The following is a 16,293-nucleotide window of genomic DNA, read 5'->3' as shown; positions in this document are numbered from 1 at the left end:
CTTCGGGAGGCTGAGGCAGGTGGATCACTTGAGGTCAGGAGTTCGAGACCAACCTGGCCAACATGGTGAAACCCACTCTTAGGCCAGACGTGGTGGCTCACGCCTGTAATCCCAGCACTTTGGGAGGCTGAGGCGGGCAGATCACGAGGTCAGGAGATCGAAACCATCCTGGTTAACATGGTGAAACCCCATCTCTACTAAAAATACAAAAAATTAGCCAGGCGTGGTGGCCGGCGCCTGTAGTCCCAGCTACTCGGGAGGCTGAAGCAGGAGAATGGCGTGAACCTGGGAGGCGGAGCTTGCAGTGAGCCGAGATCGTGCCACTGCACTCCAGCCTGGGCAACAGAGCTTCTGTCTCAAAAAAGAAAAAAGAAATTCAATAATTTTAATCTTCACAATAACCCTATTAGGTAGGTATAATTAGCTCCAGGAAGAAACTAAGATTCTTAGAGGTTTTGTAATTCGCTCAGAAATTTAAAAGTGTAGGAGCAAGGGTTTAGGTTTCCTTCTTCCTAACATAACCCTTGTTTTGTTTATGTATCTATCACCCACCCCGAGAAGTGTGCTTTAAGAGGTGCTGCCCACTCACCTACTACACACCAGGAACGTGAGTGACTAACTGCAATTAGTCAAGGCAATCATGGTGGTTTCATTCCCTTTGACAGTAATAGGTTTGCCAGTAAATGGGTCTGTGAGCCAATTATGACCATAAAACAGGAAGATGCAAATTGAGGATCTGAATGCCAATCCTGCTTCAAATACAATTCTGTCCCTATCAGCACCAGTCACAGGTTTTGGTTGCCAGTAAAACTCATATGATATAACAGACTTCATTCTAATACTTCATTTGTTAACTTTATAGAGTGATACAATACAGGAATACGGAGTGCATAGTATCTTCATGTCGTCTGGAGGCTCAGAGACTACTATGTATACATTTTCTTGGCCTCCATCACCTTTCTAGGGTGTGTATAGCTCCTGAGGAAGATTGAAGTGCCCGGCTTCACTTGGTAGGTCTCTCATCAGTTGTCTGTCTGGGTGCCAACTCATAGCTCTCCCAGTTCACGTGGAGATCCACAGATAGGGGATTTCACAGCAAACAAGGCAGGTAGTCAGTTCCTAGCACAAAGCATTCCTCAACTAGCTTAACTTGGTAGTTGCCAAGGGAACAGTGCTGTGAGAAGGCAGACCCAAGGTCACCTTCCCAGGTAGACCTAAACATGTTCAGAGATGTTAACCCTTACTGATAGGCAGTCGGCTGGAAGCTTCAAGAAAAGATTTCCAGGCCCTCAAAAAGAGACACAGACAATAAAGTCTCACTCCTCTGGACATTTTTGTGTCTGAAGTTGATGCTTGGAACTACATTTTCCTGGCCCATTCAGTTTCCCACACTCCACTCTAAGACATCTATCTTTATAATATCTCCACTTTCATCAAATTTCTTCCCCAGTTCTTACTTTCAATGGGTATCTTGCTTCCTGTTTAAATTAGAAAATGGAAGCAATGAGATAAAATTTTGACACATTCCCACCACCACAGACCCATCAATTTCCTTTTTAATCCATATTCTCCACCTTCTCTCCTGTTACTACAGATATATTGTTTATAAACCAATCCAAGGTTTCCCTTGCCACTGTGCTTTAGACCTTATCCCCAAGGACGACTCTAGCACTGTAAACACCTCCTCTTTTCTAGCCAAACATTTCCATCAGTGTATTTCCTTTAGTATTTCCTATTTTAAAATATGTCTCCCTGTTGACCCCACATCCTACTCCAATTATTGGCTCATTTCTCAACTCTCTATGACAGCAAGATATCTCACGGGAGTTTTCTATGCTCATTTCCAAATATTCTAGTCTCACTTATTCTGAATTAGGTTCTCTGTTACTTATAACCCAAGTTACCTTAAATATTAAAATCTTTTAACTCAAAACTTTTTTCCTTTGAATACTGATTGTTACTATGACTCAAGATTATTAAATTGGGAGAAAGAGTGCTTTGATATGAGAAATTTGTCACTGAAATGGCAGCATATTGTTAACACCCTTCAAAAATGACCAAACAGAATAAAGATATGCTCATACCGCAACTTGAACAAGGAAGATACTGCTTTGAATTCAATATCTACATAATTTTTGTCATAATGTATTCATTTACTTGCCTTAGTATGAAAGTTTTGAGAGATTATGATTTAAGACAAATTAATGTCTTACTTTTGCAATGTACTTTGCAAAAGTACTTTGTGTACTTTTTCAACACTAGATGCTTTGTATTTATTAACAAGAAAAATACCAATTATATAAGATTAGAAAATTTTAAAGTTATTTAGATATATTAAATGAGGTTCAGAATCCTATTATCTTTATTATATGTTTATTCTGTATCTTTATTAGATATCTAATAGCACTTCTAAACCATAAGCAATCTCAATTATATAATGTGTTATAACTGATCTTAAATAAAAAAATAAACCTGAAATTTTATGAGTTTTCCACTGCATGAGCATATTGAATTGTGGCAATAACATGGTGAGGTCCGCAGGGTAAAACAATTCCTCCACCAGTTTTTTTCTTTAGAGATGGAGAATATGAAGTGTTTATGATAAAAATCAGAATATAAAAAAGAGCCTGAAAGGCTGCAGCAATGTAGGGAACTTTACAAGTTGAAATTTAAACTGGAGCGTCCTTGGGAGTCAAAAAGAACAGCTGCTCAAATACAAAACTGCTTAACAACAGCACTTGTGGAAAATAAGCAGGCAACAAGTCTGCAATGCTACAGTGTCTCCTAAAAAGCTACTAAAATGTTGGACTACATTGAGAACATGATTTTTTATTTATTTTTTTTTTTTTGAGATAGAGTTTTGCTCTTGTCACCCAGGCTGGAGTGCAATGGCGCCATCGTGGCTCACTGCAACCTCCACTTCCTGAGTTCAAGTGATTCTCCTGCCTCAGCCTCCTGAGTAGCTGGGATTACAGGTGCACGCCACCACACCCAGCTAATTTTTAGATTTTTAGTAGAGGCGGGGTTTCCATGTTGGCCAGGCTGGTCTCAAACTCCTGACCTCAGGTGATCCACTCGCCTCGGCCTCCCAAAATGCTGGGATTACAGGCATGAGCCACTGCACCCGGCCTGAGAACATGATTTTAACAGCCAACATTTACTGAGCACCTTACCAGCCTTGCTTCACATGGAGTAAGTGGCTTTCAGACAAGGAAAGTATTCAAAACATGGAGGTGATTGTCTTTTCTGCTCAATCTGGGTACAGTGTACACAGACAGAGTTTATTCAAGGAACCACCAAGGAACACTTGAAAAAGCAGGGAAGATTGCCTAGAGAGCAGGCACGGGGGTACCTACTTGCTGCTTAAGACTGCAGGATCATAACGAAGCAAACTACAATCAACAACAGGAAAGCAGATTTCATCCCAACACATAAGGTAGAAATTTGTAGTGGTAAAAACTATCAAAATTGTGAAAGAGACATTAAAAAGAAAGGGGGCAGGGTGCAATGGCTCACTGCCTTCCAACACTTTGGGAGGCTGAGGCAGGTGGATTGCTTGAGCCCAGGAGTTTGAGACCAGCGTGGGCAACATATGAGACCCCCGTCTCTAAAAATAAAAAATAAAAACAATTTAAAAAAGAAGATAACTAGGTACTATGTACTACCACCTCCTATATATTTGTTATTCATTGCTGCAGAATAAATTATCCCCAAACTAAGTGGCTTAAAACAATACACACTTACCATCTCCCAATGTCTGTGGGTCAGAAATCTGGCATGGCTTTGCTAGGCCCTCTGCTTCAGGGTCTCTCATAAAACTACAATCAAGGTGTCAGCCAGGTCTACAGTCAGCTCATGTTCTGCTGGGGCAGGAACCACTTCCAAGCTCAGTTAGTGGTTGTTGAGCAGGTTGATTTCTTTCTGAGCGGCTGGACTGAGGGCCTCAGTTCCTTGCTGACTGTCGGTGGGAGGCTGCCCCAGTTTCTTGCCAAGTGGCCCTTTCAGTTAGAGCAAGTGCTTAAGAGCCAGGAGAGAATACCAGGCAGATGGAAGAAGATGGACAAATATGAGAACTTTTTAGGCATTCAGACCAAAACTGAGGTAGTTATTAAAGATGAGTCTGAGCTGTCCTGTTTGTGCAATTGGATAAAAGATGGTGCCAAATTACTGAGATATGCATAAGAGAGGACCAGATATGGGGAGGAGAGGAACATGAATTTGATTTTTAACATTTGATACATGTGAGATGTCTGAGATACTAGAGACAACAAGTGGAAATGAAGGTCAGAGAACTGACCTGAACATACAAATTTGTAAGAGACTAATATCTAGATCGTGGTTGACAGCTTTACACTATTACATCTCTCTCTTTATACTGTTACATTTCTCTTTTTTTTTTTTTTTGTTTTTTGCCTTTTGTTTTTAAAGACAGAGTCTTGCTCTGTTGCTCAGGCAGGATGCAGTGGCGTGATCTTGGCTCACTGCAACCTCCATCTCCCGGGTTCAAGCAATTCTTGTATCTCAGCCTCCCCAGTGGCTGGGACTACAGGTGCACGCCACTATACCTGGCTGATTTTTGTATTTTTAGTAGAGATAGGGTTTCACTATGTTGGCCAGGCTGGTCTCAAACTCCTGACCTCAAGTGATCCGCCCGCCTTGGCCTCCCAAAGTGCTGGGATTACAGGTCTGAGCAACCACACCTGGCCATTGTTACATTTCTTATTGACTAATGTGATAGGTACTTTGACCTATTTAGTTGTCCATTTGCAAAGATCTCAGTCTGAAACTAAATAAGGTGGGTGGGGTTTCACACAAACCTTTGCTGTTAAACGTATTATCCCCTTCCAACTGTACCTCCCCAGTTCCCCTTACCCCTATGTTATTTTGAAAACATCTTGAGACTAACAATTAGGTTCAAGAAAATAAAAGTATGTGGCAACTTAATGATCTCTATATTCTGGTAGTCATGCCTTTGTGTGATGCCCTATCCTGACGGTGGGTAGGACCTGACTGGCTTCTAACCAATAAAACATGGCAAAAGTGATGGGCAATCTCTCCCATGATTGTGTTACATCATATGGCAAGGTGATGGATGTCACCCCCGTGATCATGTTACATTATATGAGACTCAGTCTTGCTGCCTTCATGAAGCAAGTGAGCATGTTGAAGAAGCCCATTAGGCAAAGAACTAGGGGTTCTAGGGCCATTAGTAGCTGAAGGCACACTTCAATCAACAGCCAGCAAAAAAACTGAAGCCCTCAGTTTTACAGTTATAAGAAAATGAATTTTGCTAACAACCTCAGTGAGTTTGTGGAGCAGATTCTCTCCCAGTTGGATCTGCAGATGAGTACACAACCTGGCTGATACCTTGATTGTGGCCTGTGACCAAGAGTGACATGACATACCACCTTGTGAAGTGCTGAAGGAAAAAAAGCCTTTTGCTCTAGAACAGTAAATCCAGTGAAAATATCCCTCAGACATGAAAGGAAAATAATTTCCAAGACAAAAGCTGAGGGATTTCATCAACACCAGATATGTCCTACAAGAAATGCTAAAGGGAGTACTTCAGTCAGAAAGAAAAGGATGTTCATGAGCAGTAAGTAACCACCTGAAGGTTAGTACACAGAAAAACACAGAATATTATAACACTGTAATTGTGGTGTATAAACCACTCTTATTCTACATAGGAAGACTAAATGATGAACCTATCAAAAATAGTAACTACAACTTTCCAAGACATAGACAGTACAGTAAGATATAAACAATAGGTTAAAAAGTGGGGGGAGGGCTGGGTGTGGTGGCTCACGCCTATAATCCCAGCACTGGGAGGCTGAGGCAGGCGGATCACCTGAGGTCAGGAGTTTGAGACCAGACTGGCCAACATGGAGAAACCCTGTCTTTACTAAAAATACAAAACTTAGCTGGATGGGGTGGCAGGCACCCATAGTCCCAGCTACTCGGGGAGGCTGAGGCAGGAGAATTGCTTGAACCCAGGAAGTGGAGGTTGCAGTGAGCCGAGAATGCCCCACTGCACTCCAGTCTGGGTGACAGAGCAAGACTCTGTCTCAAAAAAACAAAACAAAAAAAAGGTGGGGGGAAACAAGGTAAAGGTGTAGAATTTTTATTAGATTTATTCTTGCTTGTTTACACTCTAGAATGTAAGTTATATGAGGAAAGGGACTTTGTCTTTTTCACCGTTATATTCCCAATGCCTATAGTTGAATGATTTAATACGTTTTGCTATACCAGTGAAGATTACTAGTTCTGATGAGCATCATGAGACCCTTAACTGGTTGTAACAAAACTATGAAACATAAGGGTTTGCTTTTTCTATCAGCATAATTTCAGACCAGTAACTCAACCCATTAAAATGTGAGCTGTCACTTTACCTCTTTTAGTAACTTTGGGTACTCTTTTCTTTTGGAGGTGCTAGAGGTATAAACTACACTTGAATAAGTTTCAAATCATAAGGACAAATATGGTTTCATGCTTTATGATTATTGCTCCACTACTGTAGCCCTGGGCTGACCCAGAGGAAAGGGCATGTGCAAAAGCAAAGTGAGAAAGGAGAAAGCAGAATTTATGTCATCTGTCATGTCTGTTTGGAATGCTGTAACAAAATACCATAGATCAGGTGGTTTATAAACAACAGAAATTTACTTAGCCCAATTCTGGAGGTTGGGAAGTCCAAGATCAAGGCATTGGCAGTTGTGCTGTCTGGTCAAGGCCCACTTCCTCATAGACACATCTTCTCACTCTACTCGCACATGGCGGAAGGGCAAGGTGTCTCTTCAGGGCCTCTTTCATAAGGGCACTAATCCCATTATTGAGACCACTGTCCCCAAGACTGTATTGTCTTCCAAGGGCTCCAATTCCCAATACCAACACCTTAGGGGTAAGAATCTTATCTACTGTACTAAGGACTCCAAACTGTAGGCACCTGCCATAGCTCACTGTGGTGAAGATGGAGAATGGTGGGAGTGTGGGGTCGGAGAGGTAACAACCGGACTGGAGACAGAGACCAGTTTAGGATGCTCACCAGCAAAAAATTACAGCTGGGGTTGGGAAGATGTCCCTTTGGCTCTGGGCTGAACTGTGCAGCTATGAGGCCTCCTGTCTTCTCTACTACAAGCCATCCTGAGTGACTGAGTTCAGCACAGCAGCACTGATTCTGCTGATGTTTCTTAATGAAGATCTTTGGTGTTCTGTATTTACAAATTCTCACTCCTGATCCATTTTTCTTTAACCGTACGTTAGCCTGAAAGGTAGTCATTAACTCATGGTTCATTATGTGGTTGTCAACTTTAGGAAGACCTCACCTATCTGAGCTGGTCTGGTGACAGTAATATAGTTCTTTCTCTGATGGCAAGTGCCACCTTAGGATGGCAGTAGTGGTGGAACATGGGCACAGTGCAGCATTCACGAGTGCTCTGTAACACACAGCTGTCTCCTTCATCAAGACAGTGACCTTCCTTCTCTTTCAAAAGTTGTGTCCTATTCCTGACCCCAGAAGGCAGATAAATACGTTATTTTCTAGCCCAGGCTATCTTGTCTTTAAGTAAACCCACTTCTTCAACAGGAAATCATTGCCAAGAACTCCAGTGCTGAATTTAAAAACGTCCAAACCCTTTTCCAACCTCTTCTACTTCTGTACTTCTAACCCCCTCCAATCTTAGGGAATCATAATCATTGGTTTTAAAGAAGATTGTTTTTAACATTCAGTTATAGTTGTGTACCCCTAATAAGAAAAGTCGCCTCATCATTTTCACTTGCCTCATCTTTTATTAAGAATAAAATACTTTTAAGATGTAAACAAAGGGAACCATGACCAAGGATTAAGTCAACGTATCTATTTTTATTATGAAACATTAAATTTTGACACATTGCCTCATTTGCTTTTTTAAAATCTATTATCTGACTTAAACCTATTCAGCAAAAATGCCAATAAATTATATTAATCATACTTTGGGTCTTTTTAAAACTAGGAACATAATATGTTTTATGATAAACAATACTACTAAATCTGAGTTGTATGAACTGTTAACTTGAAATTTGTTTTAGATGTTTAGCTTAAAACAAAAAGAAAACCAATCACATTAATACACTGTTGCAAAAGTTTCTCCGGAATGCCCTCCACATCACTGTGTGTCAGCATCCTTCGGCTTCTTCACTGAGGTATGGAATGCAGCCATATGTAGGTGTCAAGGCACTCATTCTAAGCTGTCCTATCCTGCACATCTTAGCAATCACATTAGATGGAGGGCTGATGATATGCACTAACTCCCAACCCAGGCTATCTTGCTTTTAAATAAACTAATTTCTTTAAAAGAAAATCATCAACTAAGGACTCAAATGCTGAATTTAGAAATAATAATTCCAATTCAATACACATTCAATCAAATGTGTTAGTACTTAAAAGTCACAAATTTTGCAAAGTAAACAACGAATGAACTAAGGCAAATAGCATTGTCACCACATGCCTTAAAATGGTATATTTTTGGTGTTTGAAGCTCTTTGCAAATTACATTTTGGGACAGTTCAGATGGATTTAAATAAAAGATGTGTGTTCTACATAAATTCAGTTTTAAGGTTTTCAACATGGGTGGCAACATTACAAAAATATATCAATAGTCTTAATAGTGAATGTTTTCCACCTGGTTTCTAAATCTTTATTTTCCATGGAGGTAAACCAAAGTTTAGAGTCCATCTTCAGAGTTATGATATAATCTCTATTGTTCCTAGAGATTTGAAAACTAGATATGATCTAGATCCTTGCCAGGATCTTCACTTTCATCATCCTCATCCTCTTGGTCTCCAGATTCAAGTTCATCCTCTTCTTCAACCTAGAGGAAAAAGACGTATTTAATATTGTGAAAATCTGTTCATGTCACATTCAACATTTAACAATATATACTACTGATAATTTTTTTTTTTTCTGAGATGGAGTTTTGCTCGTTACCCAGGCTGGAGTGCAATGGTGCGATCTCGGCTCACTGCAACCTCTGCCTGCCAGGTTCAAGCGATTATCCTGTCTCAGCCTCCCGAGTAGCTGGGATTACAGGTGCCTGCCACCAAGCGCCCTGCTAATTTTTGTATTTTTAGTAGAGATGGGGTTTCACCATGTTGGCCAGGCTGGTCTCGAACCCCTGACCTCAGGTAATCTGCCCACCTCAGCCCCCCAAAGTGCTAGGATTACAGGTGTGAGCACTGTGCCCAGACAAATTTTGTATTCTAGTAACTACAGTAGAATATAAGCCATCTGATTTCTTTGATTTGATGCCAAGGCTCTCTGTCATTTCTAATATGAATGAGATATATCAGTTAACTTTGCTGATAAATGGCTACACCTCTTTACACACAAATCTGAAACAAACATGGCAAAAGATAATGACATGCTTGGGTGACTACAGTCTTGTTACCAATCAAATCAATTCACTTTCTAGGCTTACGGTCCAAAAGAAAATAGTCTGTAAGTACTGAAAACTGAACCTAATCTGTGTATTAAGTAAATTCAATGAAAACAGTGAAAACAGTATAGATGGTACCATATTCATGAACCCACATATCCATTCCTATAATACAGGCACAACTTTTCCATGTTACATTAAAAATCTTTTAAATGCATTATACTAAAACATAATACAAATCATTTTTGGAGACATTTTAATCTTACTGGATGACCAAGATCCTTGAGTTTATTCTTCAATGACAGTATTTTCTGATCTTGATCGGCCAAGAGCACCAAGAGATCATCTTGTTCTTTTTTAGAATCTGTAATTTCCAACTCTAGTTTGTCTTTCTCAGTTTGTAAAATGGCAATGGTACTATTAGATGAATCCAGCTGCTCTTTAATGGCAGTTCTTTCCTCAGACAGAGCTTTAATTTCATTCTAGGAAAAGAAAGGTGAAAGGCAGGAATCTAAAATTAGCACTCACTTTCCTAGAGTTTTTAACAAATAGTTTCTTTCTATGACAAATCACTGTACTTGTTCAACCTAAGGAATTTAGGGGTGGAGGTTAAGGGTACAGGAGGTTTAACACACACACTAACATGAATTTATTAGACTGTTCATCAAAAATGGTTATTGCCAAAAAATAGTTTAACATCCAAAAAATAGTTTTAGTTAGCTATCCCTGAAAAAACCTTTAAGAGACTTAAAAAAAACAGTACCATTTCAGATAATCAAAGGAGTAAACAGAAACACAAAGCATTTTACAGAAGAAGTCTGATTAGTACCAGAATTTTAGAACTCAAAGCTCAAGTTAAAAAAAAATTTTTTATCCCAACTTCAAGCATACAATTAAATGAAAATAGCTTCAAATAAAAATCTATGGTTTAAAAATAAAATAATTTGGCCACAATCCAAAAAGCACAATTATACATTATTTTCCTTATTTTCCTTAATGTGACCTCATTCCTTTCTTCATGCTATTTATTCTGATGTCTCTGTCACACAATAATATGCTGACAGGATTTAATGTGCCTATGTTCCACGGCTTATGGAAAGCCTACATGTGGCTTGTGTATTAGCTAAATTTGTACTCCTTGTTTTGTTATTGTGATTAGATGTTGATCTTAAAAAGAAAACACAGGCCGGGTGTGGTGGCTCACGCCTGTAATCCCAGCACTTTGGGGGGGGCCAATGCGGGCAGATCACCTGAGGTCAGGAGTTTGAGACCAGCCTGGCCAACATGGCGAATCCTCGTCTCTACTAAAAGTACAAAAATTAGCTGAGCATGTTGGCAGGTGCCTGAAATCCCAGCTACTCAGGAGGCTGAGGCAGGAGAATCGCTTGAATCTGGGAGGTGGAGGCTGCAGTGAGCTGAGATCATGCCACTGCACTCCATCCAGCCTGGAACACAAAATTGAGACTCTCTCTCAAAAAAAAAAAGAAAAAGAAAGAAAGAAAACAAAAATATTTTCAATAAATTTTACTTTTATAGTACATGCATATGTATGCTTATCTTACATATTATCATTATTTGAAATAGTATTTTAAAAGCTTCATTTGTGGCTGGGTGCGGCAGCTCACACCTGTAATTCCAGCATTCCAGCACTTTGGGAGGCCAAGGCAGGTGGATCACGAGGTCAAGAGATGGAGACCATCCTGGCCAACGTGGTGAAACCCTGTCTGTACTAAAAATACAAAAATTAGCTGGGTGTGGTGGTGCACGCCTGTAGTCCCAGCTACTCAGTAGGTTGAGGCGGGAGAATTGCTTGAACCTGGGAGGCAGAGGTTGTGGTGAGCCGAGATCGCGCCACTGTACTCCAGTCTGGTGACAGAGCGAAACTCCATCTCAAAAAAACAAAACAAAACAAAAAAACCCAAAACAAAAAAAATTTTCATTTGTGCCATCTTAAATCATCAATATAGGAGTGAAAATGTTGTGAGATAAAATTACACATCATTAGCTTTCTTCATAAATCTAAGAATTTGAAAGATATATAAAATTTCCTAGAGTTCATTTCATATCATATGCAGTAAATAAAAGTTGCACCAAAAACAAACCTTTAACTCTTTGGTCTCTTGTAATAATGCTGACAGTCTTCCTTCTACATCAGTAGTTTTGGTGGCTATTATAGTCTCGGTCTCTCCTTGTACCTCAACTGATTTTGCCTGAAATTAGAAATTGGAAAAAAAGATGTCTCTTAAACATTACAATCAATATGAACTCCCAAAGGGTTATTTAATTTTTTTGCCATTTTGATATTTTACTTTCACTAACAGAAAATATAATTCCTTATGTATTTATGTGCAACAAAGTGCTCTCCACTGTCAGATGAGCTGTTCCCACATGGAAGAGCATCAAATCTCATAAGAGTACGAGGAAGGCTGGGCTAAGGTGCCTCAAGGTAGGTAAGCCCAGAAAAGTAATCAGCAAGGCAGCTCTAATGTAACTGTAACCCAGCATTTAATAAACACAGAATATTTTTCAAAGCCTTTCCTTCATAAATTTCCTATAAGTCCATACTACCACCCTAGATAGGTAGATAAATTGAGCCAAATATCATTATTAGTGAAATGCAAATCTTTTCTCAAGTGCTAGAGGAGACACTCCTGAATAACAGTTTTTCAGTCTTTCCTTGTCTTTTTTCTAAAATACTAGGAAGTCGGGTAGTGACACAACAAATATCTAAAAATGTGGAAGTAGCTTTGGAACTGTGTAATGAGTAGAGGCTGTAAGAGAGGTGCATGGTAGACAAAGCCTGCATTACCTTGATGAGACTGTTGCTAGAGATATGGACATTAAGTGATTCTGGTGAGAGCTCAGAAAGAAAAGAGCGGAGTTGGAAAGAAGCTTCATGGTCATAGTGAGAAGAAGAATGCTGGCAGAAATATGAATGTTAAAGGTGCTTTTGGTGAGGTCTCAGATGAAAACTAGGAACATGTTACTGGGAATCGGAGGAAAGGCAATCCTTGTTATAAAGTGGCAAATAACTTGGCCAAATAGTGTTGCAGTGTTTTGTGGACAGCAGAACTTGTAAATAATGAATTTGGATATTTTACTGAGGTTTCTAAGCAAAGTGTTGGAGTGCAGCCTGGTTTCTCCTTGTTGCTTAAAGTTAAATGTGAGAGAAGAGAGATAAATTGAAGAAGAAATTGCTAAGCAAAAAAGAATCAGAATTAGAAGATTTGGAAAATTCTCAGTCTACCTATATTGCAAAAGTATGAGAAGGAATGTTCTGGAGAAAACAACAACGGTTTCTGAATATTTTATGACAGCAGAAAAACTGCCAGCTTGGACTGAAGGGACAGAAATAGAATGTAATACCAGCAAAATAAACTATTAAGTAACTGAATAAACTAATCTGGTGAGACTGACTATAAAACGACTGTCACCATGAACATGAAGCCTATGTTACTAGAATACCGGCTAGTAAGTAATCTAAAGAGAAGGTGCTATCTGATGAATTTGTTTCTTTTTAATTGTGGCTAAGAAATAATACATCAACCTTGTCTTTATTACCTTCCAGAGAAAAAAGAGAAAATACTTACAAACGCTTCTGTTTTCTGTAACAGTTCCTGCTTTTCTGTCTGTAGTTTGGTGATCTCCACAGATTGTGAGTTTAACTGAGACTTTAAAGTTGCCAGTTCCTAAGAGACAAAAATAGTTGAGTCATAACATTAAATGGTATTAAATTCATCAAGGAAATATTTACAGGGAGACATTTAAAAAAATGATTTACAACCTCCTACTTTTAAAATCTAACTCTAAAGAACTATTCTTGAATTTTGGGTTCAAGATGGAAAATTCAACACATTCATTTACCTCTGCTCCCTCCTGAAATCCCATGCAAAAAAAAAAAATCATAAAAGACAGGAAGGGAGGGGAGAAGGAAGAAAGAAAGGAAGGATGGGAGGGAGAGAGGAAGAAACCTACAAAAACAAGAACAGTAAGAGAAGAGAGCAATATAATTGGGGAATTTTGAGAAAGCAAGTAACAGTGATAACTAAATCAGCACACCTGAGAAAGCTGAAAGCTAGGATGACCACTGAGAAAGTTAAGATAGTACCTGACTTACAATGAATGCATTAACTACCAGAAAGGTTAGGAACTGGTATCATTAGATACCACTGGAAGTACAGATAAAAATGAGGTTAAAAACTGCAGGCCTGGTTAAAAGACTATTTAAGAAATAGATCATCAGATCCCTGTCTCAATCTTAGGCATCAGGCAACCGTTCCTCCTTTCCTGGATGAAGACTTGAGGTTTATTATGTGGCTGGGCAAAACAGGACATCTTTAGACTAGGGACCACCAAACACAGATGAAAGCAGTAGTACTATAATGAAAACCAGGGTATTAATTGAAAGTTTTTATTAATGTTGAATTTCCAAACTTCTCACCTTCTCCTCCCCCAAAAAAAGTACAGGAAAAGAAAGGCAATTATAACAATGGCTCTCAGCAGGAGTGATTTCTCCCCATATCCCCCCATCCCCGAGGACATTTGGTAATGTCTGGAGACACTGAGTAAGTGGTGGGACAATGGCAAGTAAAAGGCTCTTTTCTTTTGGTTCTCTTTAAAATTTCTATCATGTACATTTGTGGCTTTTCTAATTTATTTTGTTTAGTTATTAAAATGAGTTACAGTTTTCTATATATAGTACTTTACTATATATTATAAAAAACAAAACTGTCACTTAAAAAATACATATATTTTAACAATCTAAAGTTTATAAAAGTAAATAAACTGGAGAAAGTAAAAAAACTAAAAGGCAATTCTCTTTTTATAAAAATATCTAATTAAAGTTTCACTGGGAAAGATAATTAAATGGCTTATTTTTACTTAGAATTTACAAACTAAGGCTATATATTAGTAACTTAATTCCCTTTAATTTTAATACAGTTCTAGTATAGGTACACTTAATAAAACCAAAAGAGCATATTAATCTTCCCACACAAATAAAACATTGTGAACAAATATTGGAGACCTGAAAATCCTCAAATGATAAGTGATTCTTTTTTTAAAAAGAGGTCAGATATTTAGAATCTACTCTGAGGTACATGGACATTATCAAAATAAGACAAAATTTCTCTATGTTCAGTCATTTCTCTTTCAAAGCAGCCATGTCAGTGGACTAGGGCCAGTTGCTTAGTGGAGAGAGAAGGAAGACAGTTAGTCCTAGGTTAGTGAGGATGGTCATTTTTTAGTATTGCTTGGATTAAAAAAAAAAAAGTATGCATTTCTTTTATAATAAGAAAGAAAGGAGGGAAAGAAGAAAAGAGAGAGAAGAAAAGAGAGGAGGAAAGAAAAACAACCCCAGAACCTGTTTAGGGATAATATACTCTAGAGTTTTCTTCCAATTGCTACATTATTTAATTGTAAGTATACAGAGTTCATTTCTCTCTTTTGATTCTTTTCTTGAACAATACATTTAAATTTTTTCATTGGATAAAGGTAAATCTGTATGATCTAGTTTAACAGGAATTTATAAATACTATAAGCAAGTAGAAAAAAGTTTAACTTGCTTTTCTAGATGTTATAAATTACCACAGAAAAAGTTTATTTTGCTTTTTAGCTGGAGTCATTTAATTGAGATATAGGTAAGTTTACCTTTCTTCTCTTTTCCAATTCTAAAATTCTATATTTTCTAGACAAAACAGTTTAAAAACCCCATACATTTAGTCAAGCAATTATCATAGTATATTAAAATTAGGCATAAGATTTTACATTTTCATATTTGCAAGTTATAAATTTAAATTTTTCCTTGTTAGTTCACTGATAATCTATAAATAACATGGGTGAGATGCTGAGATTTTTTAAAAGGAATACCTCTGAAAAATAAAAACACAATAAAAAGCAAAGTACTATTACCATATAAATAGAAACAGCTTCTGGATTTTCAAATGGCTGTCTTAACTTAAATTTTACTTACATCTGCTAATATAGTTCTAGATTTGTGAAACTATAGGGCTGTTATTCTATTATAATTAAAACATGACAAAGTAGAATTGGATCAAAGTGGAAAATTACCTGTTTTAATTCTGCAACTTGTTCAGAATCTCTAGCTGAAACTATTGCTGAAGACTGTTCATTTGTGCCAGATGTTTGGGAAGATTTCTGCAAATAGCACAAAAATAAACTATAAAATATATTCAGTCTAAAGAGATGAGAAAAAAAAACAGAACTGTACACATATAAACTATATCATATGTGCTTACCAAAAAATTCACACCAACCTTTTAATTTTTATGCCCAAGATAAAATTCCAACACAGCACATATTGTCTACAACTTTTTCATGGCTAAAAATCCATTTGTAGGCTGGGTGCGGTGGCTCATGCCTGTAATCCTTGGGAGGCCAAGGCCAGTGGATTGCTTGAGCTCAGGAATGCAAGATCAGCTTGGGCAACACGGTGAAACCCTATCTCTACTAAAATACAAAAAATTAGCCGGACGTGGCAGCGTGCACCTATAATCCCAGCTACTCGGGAGGCTGAGGCAGGAGAACTGCTAGAACCTGGGAGGTGGAGGTTGCAGTGAGCCGAGATTGTGCCACTGCGCTCCAGACTGGGCTAACAGAGCGAGACTCTGTCTCTAAAGAAAAAAAAATAAAATTTTTATTTTACCGAGCAATTTATTAAATCTAAGCATTTACCTGCGTTCATATGGAGAAAGAGCATAAAAGCAAACATTTATTAAATAATTTCCATCTATTAGAAGAGTAAATTAAATCTCACAACAATGAACTAGACATTACCACTACCATTTTATAGATCAGGAAACAAGTTTAAAGAGGTTAACTAAATTGCTTAAATTCAATGAGCCAGGAAGCATTGAAGTTTAAACAG

General features: G+C 38.2%; 1 protein-coding gene across 4 annotated transcripts in view; it reads right to left on the bottom strand.

The window, feature by feature from the left end:
• Positions 1 to 7,762: 7,762 nt before the first annotated feature.
• The window catches only part of USO1 (USO1 vesicle transport factor), an 89,710-nt gene continuing 81,179 nt past the window's right edge, over positions 7,763 to 16,293 (bottom strand). For all 4 annotated transcript variants that reach the window (NM_001290049.2, XM_006714397.4, XM_006714396.5 and 1 more), the window contains 5 exons: positions 15,477 to 15,563; positions 12,998 to 13,096; positions 11,510 to 11,617; positions 9,674 to 9,889; positions 7,763 to 8,843 (listed from right to left, as the gene is read on the bottom strand). In NM_001290049.2, coding sequence (NP_001276978.1) covers positions 8,754 to 8,843; positions 9,674 to 9,889; positions 11,510 to 11,617; positions 12,998 to 13,096; positions 15,477 to 15,563 — 600 coding nt within the window. In that variant the 3' untranslated portion in view covers positions 7,763 to 8,753. The remainder of the gene's footprint in view (positions 8,844 to 9,673; positions 9,890 to 11,509; positions 11,618 to 12,997; positions 13,097 to 15,476; positions 15,564 to 16,293) is intronic.

Source organism: Homo sapiens, chromosome 4 (assembly GCF_000001405.40).
Source record: "Homo sapiens chromosome 4, GRCh38.p14 Primary Assembly".
Classification (NCBI taxonomy): Eukaryota; Metazoa; Chordata; class Mammalia; order Primates; family Hominidae; genus Homo; species Homo sapiens.
Note: the sequence above shows the minus strand (reverse complement) of the source record. Positions and strands in the feature narration are given on the sequence as shown.